Raw genomic sequence first — 13,953 nt, 5'->3', positions numbered from 1 at the left:
ATTTTATTTTTAGGTAACTTTGGCAATTGAATACTTAGAAGTTGATCCTGCAGGTGCAGCACCATTAATAAATATTTGATGAAGTCAGGGACATTATTATACTTAGTGTGTTTTAAATATTCTCAATTAAGTTACTTTTTCTCCTCTTCTTCTAGCAACGTTCTACTGTTGCTTCCATGATGCACAGACAGGAGACTGTAGACTGCTTGAAGAAATTTAATGCTAGAAGAAAACTAAAGGTAAGAAATTTTACATTTTTATGGGGAGGTAGATTTGACAGACTAAGAAGTGAAATACTGTGTGAGGAAAATAACTTCTAGCAAAGGCTTTCAATTATGTAGACCTCAATACTCTCATTATTCTTTTTGGGGCTCTTGGGAAATGGAATATACACCAGAATCAAAACTATGGTGAAAAGCTGGAATCATCCTGGCAACACATGCTGTGGATCCTTCCTTCAGTGGAAAACAGCTGTGCAATTTGATAATCAGAATCTGGCCCGCACACTAGGGCCGTCCCAGCATCATGAGAGACAAAGGCCTTTGACTCTCAGGAAACCAAAAAACAAAAACAAACAATAAAAAATCCCCTAACTGAAAGTAGGGCCAGGAAAAGATTTGTTATCAAAGACTCTATATTTGTTAGGTCCAGAATTTGCATAGGCAACACTGACTTTTGTGTTCTAATTTTTTTCACAGGGTGCCATCTTGACAACTATGCTGGCTACAAGGAATTTCTCAGGTACATGCATTGGGAACTCTGCTTCTTATCCCTTGGTCTTCTTTTTAAGTAGTCTCTGTTTTTTTGTCTCTGGAATTTTAAAAATCTAATAATTAGAAAAACTTCATTGTTCAGGGGTGGCAAATGTGTGGCACAGATTCCTTCTACACCTATGGCTGCCATTAGCAGTCTACCTGGGTGCTGTCTGCTGCCGAGCCTCCGTGACTGAACCCCTCACAAGACTGCTTCTGGCAGCAGTGGCCACCAGTCAGTGCTGGTGCAGGACTAGCCTCATCTGTCAAGTGCTGGGGTGCGCACGAGTTGTGGAAATAAATACTCCCTCATTTACGATCTCAGCGTTTCAAACCTAGAATTTATTACTGATATTTCATAAAGTAATAACTTTGAATAAGTTATTTTTGGTCTCATTTTCATAGGGAATCCTAGTATGCAAGATTTTTAAAAGAAGACCATTATTGGCCGGGCGTGGTGGCTCACGCCTGTAATCCCAGCACTTTGGGAGGCCGAGGCAGGTGGATCACAAGGTCAAGAGATCAAGATCATCCTGGCCAACATGGTGAAACCCCGTCTCTACTAAAAATACAAAAATTAGCTGAGTGTGGTGGCGCGTGCCTGTTGTCCCAGCTACTTGGGAGGCTGAGGCAGGAGAATCACTTGAACCAGGGAGGTGGAGGTTGTAGTGAGCAGAGATCACGCCACTGCACTCCAGCCTGGCGACAGAGCGAGACTCCGTCTCAAAAAACAAAAAAAAGGGAAGACCATTATTGAGGAACCCAGTTCTCTTAGACCTAAGTTCATTCAAAAGTATAGTATTTTCTTGGTGTACTATAAAAGTGATTACAACTGTCAAAGGTATCTAACTCAAGAATTTACAGAGCACCTTGCACTCAGTACTATCAGAGCATAATAAATGTCCCTCAAAATGATTCCATGGTAAAAATAAGTTTGTTAAATAATAGGCTTAAAGAAGCCAAGCCATTTCTTTATTGTAAGCGTCACTCTCTAAAAGTGGAGATAAAGTATATATTACTCCAAGAAATTACTTGAGTTTTGCAACCTCCTTCTTTGATAGATTGTCTCAAAGGACCAGGTTCCCAAAAGTCAAATCTTGTTCAATGCTAAGCAGTCTTATGTAGGGGGAAGGACTGGAGCAGCAATTAAGCCGCACTTGGTAACCTTTGGCCCTTTAGACTTGGAACACTTGTCAGCCAAAAATACTACCAGTTTAGTTTGGATACAGTTTACATAACAGTGATCTGCAGCATCAAACTGTCCAGCTATTTTTTCAATTCTTTATTTTGTTTTCTGCTACATACTTAGCCTGGGTGTTATAGTGTTATCAGGTAATAATCCATCATATCATTATTAAATGCTCTTCAACCAATATCTAGTTATTATTTACAACTGCATTAAGTGGTCACCTTTCTCCCCACCTTTGCATTTCATTACAAATAATGGGAAACCATAAGAGGCCTTTCAAAGGCTGTTAAAAAATAGCAACAACAGTAGTACAATGAATAATGCTACGAATTGAGGGACTGTGTTGGCCAGTTGTATGTATTTTGTCCAATTCATTTAGTGTAATAATACCTTGTTGCTGCCTTTGTCAAGTTACCTGTTTCATAAACCATTGATTAATATAGTTGACATTTATATGGGTGAGTTCAATGCCATATCATTAAATATTAATTCATATATATGATATTCAAATAAATTTCACTGTGGCCCAGTAATTAGTGAATCATTAAAAGGTAGAGTGATTTATATAGCATAAATTGTTAATGGCAAACTAACCCAAACTTTAAAAAATCTTCACATTTAAAACTGTACATTTTGTTAAAGAAGTGTTAAATACACTCTTGGGCATAAATTGGGCCTTTATTAATGTATGTACCCATATATAGAAGCTTTTTGTTTACCTCACAGTTTCCTTTTCATCATCATGTAAACTAAAAACTCATGACTAATATGTGAATTTTATATTGTTTCTGATTGTCTTAGCATGAAAAAGCAATTTTTTTAATCCATCACTTCAAAATCAACTGAAGAATATTAGACCCAGTTACAACATCTTGTACTTGATACTGCATTTTAGAGTATTTTATTCATCCTATTTCATTGCCAAACATGCTCTTTAAAGTAATTTATCCATAAGTATATGGTTATAAAGTTGTTGTTTTTATTTTTTCTTTTCTCCCTTTATGTGGAATGTATTTCTTGTGAGGTAAGGTGAATAGTAACCAAAAGGGACATTTTTGCATCTCCCAGGCCAAATCCCTGCTTACCCTGAATCATCATCTTCTCTTTGCTTGCTATTGCAATTTCAATTATTCTGAGTTTGCTTTCTAACCTATTAACTGCCACAGGATTGATTTAATACTGCTTTTTAGCTCCAGGCAAACAATATAATGGCTAAGGCAACTATTTCTTACAATCTCAATTAATAATAAATTAATAGCTGTGTTGCTAAAGATTAATGAAGTTAACATTTTTGTATCTTTTAAGTAAATTTAAAAATATACCAATATGATATTGAAATAATGGCCCAAATCAATGAATGTCAGGAAATTACATGTTCATGCAGTTCTATTCTAGCTAGGTATTTCCACTTTCGAAGCCAAATTCTATTCTGATATACTTAAATAAGTATATGTAATTAATATTAAATGAAAGCATAAGTGTGTATCATGTCCTGCATATTTGTGAATGTTCTACACTTGGTGTACTAATTGTCATTGACAGTTATATTATCTCTTCACTGTGTATCTACACATTCCTTAGTAGATTTTTCTGAAAGGGTGACTTCACCTTTTCATATACTCAAGAAGTTTAGTAACAGAAGGAATGTTAAAAGCTCCCTTCCAAAAAAAATGAAGTTTCATATAAGACCCATATGCTTTAAGATTTCTCTAATTTCGTTGAAGATTTTATTCTGGTTTTATGTTGTCTCAAATTTTATGATTTTTACTTTTTCATTGTAAAGGCTTTTGTTTATGAAGCCTTTGTATTCTGATTTTAATGTATAAAAGAATACATAATGCCATTTTTTAGAGATCATGTGCTAAACATTTTAAAAATTTGCTCTAAGCCAATAATATGCCATTTTATTTAAATAGTAATATTTTTTGTAAAACCAAATTGTCTGACTTCAAGAATGTAATGAAGATGTTATTTAGCCAGAGCAAATTTTACAAATGAATTTTCAACCTCTGGAAAGCAGGGCTTAAATGGCAGAACTGACATGGTCACCATATGTGGTGTGAATGAACATGTAATACAATCTGTCAGTCAGCTGATGTCCAAAGACTGAATTCAACTTTCTGGATTACAAAAGGATAGTCCAGTTAAAGTTCCAGTATCCTTTTCACAACCAACAGTGAAATAAAGTCCAATAAACACAACTGGCAAAGTATTCAATTGTATGCAACGAACTACTCTTTAGTTCTAAATTTGCTGTGGCAAACCAAGAAAAGTGATACTGTATTTCAATGTCCTGTAAGCTCGCGTTCATCAGTGTGACTTTGATAACTTGCCATATGTTGGCCAGAACTCAGCAAAGGTGGTAGAAGGAGACAATAACCTGACTGCTTTGTTGTCTGGCTGTGGGTTTCTATGGATAACTCACTAAACTGATTTTACTCTCATTTTACAGCAGCCAAGAGTTTGTTGAAGAAACCAGATGGAGTAAAGGTAAGTTAAACAGATGCCCCTAATCCATTTCTGACTTTCAGATGCTGGATAATCTTTAAATGTTATATATAATTCCTAAGTCTTTGCAAGTTCTATTTTTTATTGTTTCTGATAAAGGTTGCAGGTTGAAATATGAAATGATTTAATATACAAAGATGACTAACATTTATATCAAGAAAAGCTGTATTTCTCCTGTTGGATTATATATGAAATAGTCATGAAAAAATAATGTTGTTATACAATATAGAGTTCCTATAGAAATAATTAAATGTCTTAATCTCTCTGATTTACTACAGTTCCAAACTACCATGGTGACCTAAAAGTCTGTAAAAACCAAATGCTTTTCCAAATAATTATGCTGCATACGTGAAGGCCACTGAAATATATAGCCTGAAAAATACTCACATTTGGGTATGGAAAATAGAATGTCAAATGTCTAAATTAATCTGCTTGGGCAGTTTTTATAAAGGTCTTAATTATTCCTTGTTTCTGTCATAAGGTGTTGAGATATATTCAAGATGAATGATCTGAACAAATATTAGAAAAATCTTGCAAGAAAAATAACAGCAGGATATTTTTACTTTCTGGCTTTCTAAACAAAATAATACAGTTTCTTTCCTACTGATTGTATTTTGTTTCAAGGGGATTTACTCTTGTTGGAATGTAATCTTATGGTACATAATGATGTTTGTTATCTTTTCAGAGTACCACCTAAATGTTTTATTTCTTTAATCCTTTTCTTTCTCTTCCAAGGACAGATGCATACATTCTTCATCAACACTTCAACGTTCTTGGGAATTAATTAATTTTCTAACATTTGAATTTGACCCAAAGTCAGGTGGTCAGTTCATATTGAAAACATAGAAAATCATTTGTCACTTTAAATGTTCATGCTCAGTCATTTCTTTACCACCTGTCTGTGTGCAACTTGGAAATTTCTGGAGCACTGATGACTGTGCATTTGTGATTTCCTTTAGGATGCCATTTCCATTTACCAATTGCTTTCCTCAGCCTGCAATTGTGTCTTCATTCTGATTAGTTTATTCCATTTAGATTTTAAGAATGATAGTTGATGACTGCCTTTTTCCCAATGTTACAATAGTAGAAATGTGGTATCTTACATTTTCCAAACATTTTCTTCTCCTGGGCTTTCCTGTACCGTTCAGTGATGGAGAGCTCACAGTTCCTATTGAGATATTTATTTTCATTACTATCCTTACATAGAACGCATTTCCAGAACTTTTTCCTTCCATTCAACTTATAGCTCCTCTTTAAAAACAAAATTATTCTATACTCCATGCTTTGATACTCTAAATTCAACCGGTCATATTTTTTTTTCTTTTCCTTTCTCTTTGACTGGTCAATTCAGAAAAGGAAGTCCAGTTCGAGTGTTCAGATGATGGTGAGGATCTATCTGCCAGATTTCTCCTCCTGTGAAAATTCACACTTAGGAATAAAAGTCTTATTTACCTAAGATAGTGTAAGTAAGTGGAGAGGGTGTAGGACCATTACAGGTCAGTGTTAGTCAACTATCAAAACACGGTACTTCTCTTACATATTACATTGTTTTTTCTCTGAAATTGAATTTGTTATACATGTAGATAGTATATTAAGAGGTTTGCTCTTTTACAAAGTCAATTTTCTCTTTGAAAATAAAAAGACCATGACAGAATGAATGTCTGTATAGTGATCAGTAAAAACAAACAAACAAAAAACTATATGTTTTTTTTAATGTTCTTTATGGTTGCTAAAATAGGAGTGATTTATAGGACACCATAATACATTCACCATGGAGTTTATAAAGGTGTGAAAGTGATCTTACAATGTACCAATCCTAGTTAAGTACCTTTAAAGGAAATGTTTATTAACCTTCAAACAATAAATTTAACACCTGAGAAATAGGAATATCTTGCCCATGCCTCATAAGAGTAATTCAGTGCATCATACAATTATCTGATTTGATTGATTCATGATTTTTTAAAAAAGAAAAACACCTTGCTTCTATTAACATAAAATAATTATATCACACAAAAGTGCCAGAGTTTTTGTATTTTTAAAAGACATCTATGGGCCAGGAGCGGTGTCTCACACCTGTAATCCCAGCAGTTTGAGAGGTTGAGACAGACGGATCACCTGAGATCAGGAGTTCGAGACCAGCCTGGCCAACACGGTAAAACCCCATCTCTACTAAAAAAAAAAACAAACAAACAAAAAACAGAAATTAGCCAAGTGTGGTGGCCGTACCTGTAATCCCAGCTACTGGGGAGGCTGAGGCGGGAGAATCACTTGAACCCAGAAGGCAGAGGTTTCAGTGAGCCGAGATCGCGCCATGGCACTCCAGCCTGGGCAACAAGAGCGAAACTCCATCTCAAAGAAAAAAAAAAAAGACATTTGTGGTTGAACCTATACTTATATTTGACTCTTTGAAAAGAACGTCTTCTTGCCTTTTGCTTAGAAATTATCCTATTATTTTTCAATAAATTAATATTATAAATAACTGCAAAAGATTTTCCATAGGAAAAAAATCATTTAGTTAGTCTTTACATTAACAAAAAAGCTTTAACTGCATATTAAACATGACCAAAAGTGTGGTTGAGGCACATATTCATTTAACTCATGTTTCCCATACCTAACAATAAAGAATGGCTCACCCAGACAGAATGGCCTTCATCTGGAAGAGATGATGGTGTGTGTATGCTGTGTATCTGTGTGTGAATGTGTGTAGGTGTGTGTGTGTGGGGGGGGGAACATGTGCACTTGTACAGATAAGTTTGTGTGCACAGGTGTGCAAGTGGGACATTTTCACTAAAATAAAGCAGTTCTTGGCAACCACATCCTAGAAAAAAGTCAAGTATCATATCCCAAAATAGAAATAAAAGTATCTCAGAATATTTCTTTCATTTGCATTCACTGATAAAAACTAAATATAGCATATTAAATACATGTGGTGCTTTAACCATAAGTGCCCCTGTTCATTTGACAGGAAGCCGGCTATGTTTTGCCTAGCATGTTTCCCGAATAGGAAATTATTCGTGTGTGCATCCCTCCCCTTTTCTCACGTACCCTGTACTAACATAAATACTGAATTTTGATCCCTCTTTAATAGACTTTTTACCTCTTATCTCTTTGGCTCTTGCACAAATATCATGTTAAATTCTGTGCACTTTGATTTAAAGGAAAAAAAAGGTTTTAACTATCTGCAGAATATAGATTGATGACAACATTTATAGAATTTTCCAGTAAAGGAAAGTTTAGAAGTTTTCTCATCCTTTTCTGTGGGTCAAGCAGCACAGTGTCACAACTTATTGTAAAAATAACGATACCAGTAATCAGACAAAAGGGAATGAAAAGAAAGGAAAAATATTACATATTTAAATTAATTTATGTTACTTTCTATCTTCCTCTCAATACTAGTTTTGACAGGATATATAGTTATCAGATATAGACTTCCAGAAAACCCGAACAATTAAACTGGTGTCACCACTTGAAATGCTCATTTGATACTCATTTATTTTATATAGTATATGTTTCTCTTTACATCATTATCTATATTTATATTAAAATCATGGAGGTATATTCCTTTAGAAAATAATAAATAAAATACCTAGATAATATAGTATAAGAAAATGAACGTTACCTTACATTTTTGTTTGAGAACCGTAATGTAAGTTGTCATGCATGAGTTTAAAAGAATGTTGATTGATTATTATTTTTCAGTCCTTGATTCTTAGTGCCCCGACTCAGTTGTAGTTTCTGATTGCCACTTGTCTACAAAGAGTCTTCTCTGTGGACCGTTAGAACACTTATTGACCCTCTGAGTTGCTTTTACCACGCAGCTTCCACAGTGGTAATGATATATTCTTTAAAGTCAAATCCAGTTATGTTAAAGCAAGGGAATGATATTACCAAATATATTCTGCAGTGATAGCAGTAGCACATTGACAGAAAATGTAGTATTTTCCTCTTACACAACTGTAAAAATTAAAGTCCTTTTACATTCAACATAAAAAGTTTGATTTCCCCACTAATAATTGAAGATGTAATTTTTAGAGGAGATCTACACTTGTCATTTTTAAAAGCTATTGTGACACCAGCGTTTTCTCAGAAGATCTAAATTTTCATTGGATAATTTAATTGCTCCTAAGCAAAGTAATGCTGGATCCCCAGAGAAAGATGTATGTGTGTGTGTGACTTCAGGCTCAAGAATAAAATGAGGGAAGAAAGAAATATATTTATAACTGTGAACAATTGGAAGCTTGGAAACAGAATCCAACTTGAACAGTATGAGAATGGTTATATTAATTTCATACTCTGAAACCTGATTGGAGCTCCACTGAAGCAGCTCTTTGTTTGCTAAGGTGGCATAGCAACAGCAGACACGTCTGTTTTCTCATTGCACCATCACGGACATGGTCCAGCCTGTGTGTGACCATCGGAGACTAGCGATCATCATTCCTGTCAGTCATCACCATGTCTTTCACGTTCATCTTCAGTGGCTCTTTATCTTCATGTCTACATCTCTATGTAGACATGCTGCATCTAGAGACATTGGCTACCAAGGGGTTTAAGGCATCTCTGTTTCTATTTTCTGCATACCCACAGATAAACAACAAAGCCAACGTGGTAACCAGCCCCAAAGAAAATATTCCTACCCCAGCGCTGGTATACCTGGACTCTTTGTAACCCTTCTTAAGTTCTTTACATTTTTTTTTTTTTGTGGTTTCTCTCATTTGCTTTCACTATATAGATACATATATATAAATATTTTATTTCGTTGGGTGTTGGGTTTTGTTTTTTTTTTTTTTTGCTTTCTATGATATGACCAAGTTCATTTCTTTTGGTTTTTTTTGGTTAAGTTAGTTGTCAAGCAGTGTGTTCTAACATGAGATTATCTCATTTCGTTGTTGAACATTGTACTGATAGCTGTGGTCTCTGTAGTTGGAATTACTGCATGCTGCATTCAAAATACAGCGCTTTGGTTGCTCTTAGCTCTTCTGATGATGATAGTTCTAGATTATGCAAACAATGGTTTCTTCTTTTCATGATGCAAATGCTTACATCAAGGAGAGCTAATGGGATTGTTGCTAGACAACATGAAAGTAGACCTTATTCAGAGTTCTCGTTTCCCTCTTATTAAAACACAACAGGGCTTTGTAAGACTTCACTTTCTGAGATAAAGAGGCACTGGATAATTTAGAGCTTTCTGTTTATTATGTTTTAAATTAAATTTTCACTGTTTCACTTTAATCCAAAGAATGAAACTGCAAAGAATAGAGGTTTGAATTATCAGTGGAAACCAGTTATGTCTATCTCAATCAAATCCACACAATTAACGACTAAATTAGTCTAACACTTTGAGATGGTATTATGTTAAAATTCAGAATTTGAATACTGTCATTCAGTGCTGAGTTCCATAACATTTTCCCTAAACTGTTTCATATTTTGATTTATGATTTTCAGAAATGTTTTTCAATTATTTGCTCTTCTCATACTGTTATTTTAAATAAATTTAAAAATGTTAAGGAATCATTTCACTTGAGTTAACCATGAGGCTCCATTTAAAAACATTTAAAAGGAGGACACATCAAAATAACAGGTTATCTACTAGTAAAAAACAATGTTGATCACAGCTGTAGCCAAGGGAAAGGGAGAATGGAAGCAGGAGATATGTCTCTCAATATTACAGCAGTGTAAACTGTAGTGGTGGGGGAGTGTCCATGATTGAGAACTCCCAGTGGGTTGCAGTACCTCCCCATTGCCAAGATATCACACAATGAAAGTGCCAAGCATGTCACTGATGTATGCATATTGAATCTTTTTTTACATCAGTTATTTGAATGTTATTCTCCACTTGGGAATATTTCTTTGCTTTCTGATAGAAAACAATAGAAAACCCATACTTTCTTCATAAAAAAGCATGACTTTATAGCCAGATATCCTGTATATATAGTCCATAAAGTAGAAGTTTTTTAGATATGAATTAATACAGGATTTAATAGCAGTATGCCTCAAATTATAGTGATTACATGATTAGTTCTAGATTAGTAGATTAGTTCTAGTTCATGATTAGTCCCTTAAACTTTTTAAATGTTCCTTAAAATTTTTTTATGGTCTTTTGAAATGGATTCTTTAGTATAGTCTTTTTTTAAGTGTTGTCCAATGGCTCTAGATTTTATAAGGGTATTCAGTTACGTATTAATTAATGACACCATAATCGAGTTTCAAACCAATATAACTGAAAAAATATCTTCTCTGAGAATTTGAAATCATCTCAGAGTTTTAGCTCCAGTGTCCTTGGCCAGTTCTCTATGGGACAGACGTTCACAGGCCACTCATTAAAGAAGAAAGGAAAGCATAGGATTAAGTGAAACAGTGAGTGCCTCTTCAGATCTCTAAATATCAAAGCCTTGTTTGAATGCTGATCAAGAATAAGGTCTTTTGCATGCTGCTTCTGGGTAGGGAGGTTCCTATCTCATGGCCTCGCCAGGGAGATCTTTCATCAGAGATATTGTCAGCTGCAACTCTGACAGCAGTTAACATCGCTTTAGCTCTTGTCACTATTTCATTTTGTCAGCTGGCTCACTCTGCTCTGTCCTTCACACTAGAAAGAATGTACTTACCAATGCGAACTGTTTCTTTCTCTATTTTGTTCTCACTCAGGAGCCCCAAACTACTGTAATCCACAACCCTGATGGAAACAAGGTATTCAGAAAGAATCAACATCATCTTGCTTTAACAAGACTATACATCTCATCAAATATTCAAAAAAATTAATTCGTTATCTAAAAATAGGAAAGAAAATTCTAACCATTTTCTACCACACTTCCTTTTGGGCCTAATTTATCTAGAACTATGGACATACTTCTTGCAAATAAAAATGAATGACATCTTGAAAGAGAAACTAATGTTACCATGAGTCAATAAAAGTCAGGCTAAACATGAATGAAGTCTTTATGTCAAGATGACTGTGTGTCTTAAGCAATTCCATCTGGTCATTTTTTTCCCCATGACTTTGTGCTTTGTACTGTAGATATATTGTGCATGATATTTTAGAATTTCTGGCAATATTCCATTGTCTTCAAAAATATCAACTTGACTTTATAGGTTTTTTTTTTTGTTTAGTGTTACTTTTGAGTTTTATTCTATTCTGTTGTCAGAGTGGTGTTTTTTTTTTTTTTGGTTTTTGGTTTCTTAATTCCTTGTTGGTGATGATGTTGTTATTGTTGTTATTGTTGTTGTTGTTGTTGTTGTTTGGCATGAATTTGAGGTGAATCAAGGAGTTTCACTTTTTGTGAAATATGTTTGTTGTTGAGTAATATATATTCCAGTAACAGGGGTTTAACTACTTAGGTTGAAAGAAGACTAAATGTTTCCTATACATTGTAAATTATTTGTATAGCATGTTAACTAAATAACAGCACTAGCATACATGTCTATAGGATGAAAGACCTTTTCTGAATGTATTCCATGTGTCCAATTTCTTACTTTTCATATATTATTATATCTCTAAGGGAAGAAAAAATACTAAACTTTTCTCAAATATTAGATATAGTCATGCATCTTCTCCATACTCTTATCAATGATGTTTAAGACTTAGAAAGCACATTTTATCTTAAGACTCAGAAAACACATTTCCTCTCTGGTTTAACATTTAATTGATCAATATTAAAACCATTAAAGTAAAAAACATGAAGTGTTATGTTCTTTAATATGAGATTTATTTTATAGTCATGACACTGCAAATGGTCTAGGTCCCGAAAAGCCTTGAGGTAGTCAGGACCATCACATATGAGAACAATTTTTTTAATAGCATTAGCCAATGAAACGCCAAGCATAACAGCTGGAATGGACACTTCAGTAGTTCTAGCTATATCATTTGTAAGAGTTGCTGCATGATATTTCTTGCTGACATGAATTAGTTTAATTTTACAGTGCATGGGTTTACCTTCATTTTCAGCTTACATTTGAATACTAGGTCACATTAAGAAATGCATGAAGATTCCTTTCTTTGGTTTTGTGTGTATGGAGACTCTGGGTACACCTTTAATTAGTTTTTCCCTTGGTTTAAATATTGTATATGATATTTATATAAATTGATCACTTTTTTGAATACTGAATCTCTAAAATGATACTGGCTGGTGTTTACATTATTTTCCAGAATCTGTTTTCCATTACTGAGCTATTGATTGGAAGTTTGTTTCCAGTTATTTTTGGCTCTAGCATTTAATCATTCCAAGTAGAAAACTATGTCTTTCTTATGAATATTGCAAAATTTATTTGCTAGAAAATATTTTACTCATACATTATTAATGAGCACATTTATCACACCATTTTAAGAAATGTATCTTAATTCTGGCAGTTACAGTGTACTTTTAAGTGTGCTTAACAATCTTCCACTTAATTTGTAGTTTTACAAAGAAAGAGCTTTGTCTTTTTATTATGGAGTAGGTTTCTTATCAATAACAGCCAGTTGCTATTTTTGAAAAGAATGAAAAAAGTCTAATTGTCCTTGAAAGTAAATTATTCATTATAATTCCATTGTGCTGAGGACAAACATGAAAATTCTTCTCAAAAGTACTTTCAGCATATCTCAGCTTAACCCCCTTAGCTTCTTCATTAAATGATGCGGTGAAATGCTTTCTCTCCCTATAAAGGTGTAAGGCATACAGGCCTTAACATAGTGCCTGACGCAAAGAAGGTACTCTTTATTGATTAATTAATTGGGAATAGAAATTTTTTCTATTTTAAGTATCAAATTCATTCGGCTAACATATTCAATTGCTTGTAGACACACAGAAAAAGCAAACCTTATAGGGCACTGTAACACAAAACACATCCTTACACAGTTTCTAAAATAAACTGCATACTTCCGCTGCTTCTACAAATCACCTGGATTTATACAGCTTCGGAGATTAGGCAACCAGAGTACTCCGTTTGAAATGTTTGCAGCATCAGACATTTTATTTCTGTTAAAAACCACTTAATGTGTTTGTCCATTTGCATGTCAGCATATGCACATAGCCTGCTGAAGAATTTTGCATGATATGTATGTCACTAGCCAATTTTTAAGGAGGAAATCAAGCTATTCATTGCGTGCAACCTAAAAATGTGTTTTCTTCTCATCAGGAGTCAACTGAGAGTTCAAATACAACAATTGAGGATGAAGATGTGAAAGGTATGATTTAACCAGAAATGGAAAATCCTACCTCAGAGCTTCACATATATATATGAAAAAAAAAGTGCTTCAAATAACTAATAAGTTTAGGAAGTAGGCCTATCCTAAAGCACAAAAATATTTTATTTATGAGTAAAAAATATTTTTATAAGTACATAATTATTTCAACAATATGTTACTTTTGTCATTTTTCCTACATATTCTTTTATATATTTTGAACTGTAGACATGTAGCATATTCTAGCACATTGCAGTAATGACAACTAATAATGAGTTACTAGTTATAGGAACATAACAAATTGTAAATTTGTCAGTCAAAAAGTAATATAAAATGTATACACATTGGGT

At 33.9% G+C, this 13,953-nt stretch overlaps 1 protein-coding gene across 54 annotated transcripts in view; it reads left to right on the top strand.

Moving 5' to 3' along the window:
- CAMK2D (calcium/calmodulin dependent protein kinase II delta) overlaps window positions 1–13,953 on the top strand; it is a 310,707-nt gene that overhangs the window by 247,670 nt on the left and 49,084 nt on the right. For 10 of the 54 annotated variants that reach the window (NM_001321578.2, NM_001321575.2, NM_001396964.1 and 7 more), the window contains 5 exons: window positions 156–239; window positions 699–741; window positions 4,394–4,431; window positions 11,092–11,133; window positions 13,558–13,606. In NM_001321578.2, the coding sequence (NP_001308507.1) occupies window positions 156–239; window positions 699–741; window positions 4,394–4,431; window positions 11,092–11,133; window positions 13,558–13,606 (256 nt within the window). Of the gene's footprint in view, window positions 1–155; window positions 240–698; window positions 742–4,393; window positions 4,432–5,800; window positions 5,834–9,033; window positions 9,094–11,091; window positions 11,134–13,557; window positions 13,607–13,953 lie in introns of all 54 variants that reach the window. The other 44 variants (NM_001399858.1, NM_172128.3, NM_001221.4 and 41 more) reach the window with 9 other exon arrangements.

Source organism: Homo sapiens, chromosome 4 (assembly GCF_000001405.40).
Source record: "Homo sapiens chromosome 4, GRCh38.p14 Primary Assembly".
NCBI classification, from domain to species: domain Eukaryota; kingdom Metazoa; phylum Chordata; class Mammalia; order Primates; family Hominidae; genus Homo; species Homo sapiens.
This window is presented reverse-complemented; position numbering and strand designations above follow the sequence as displayed.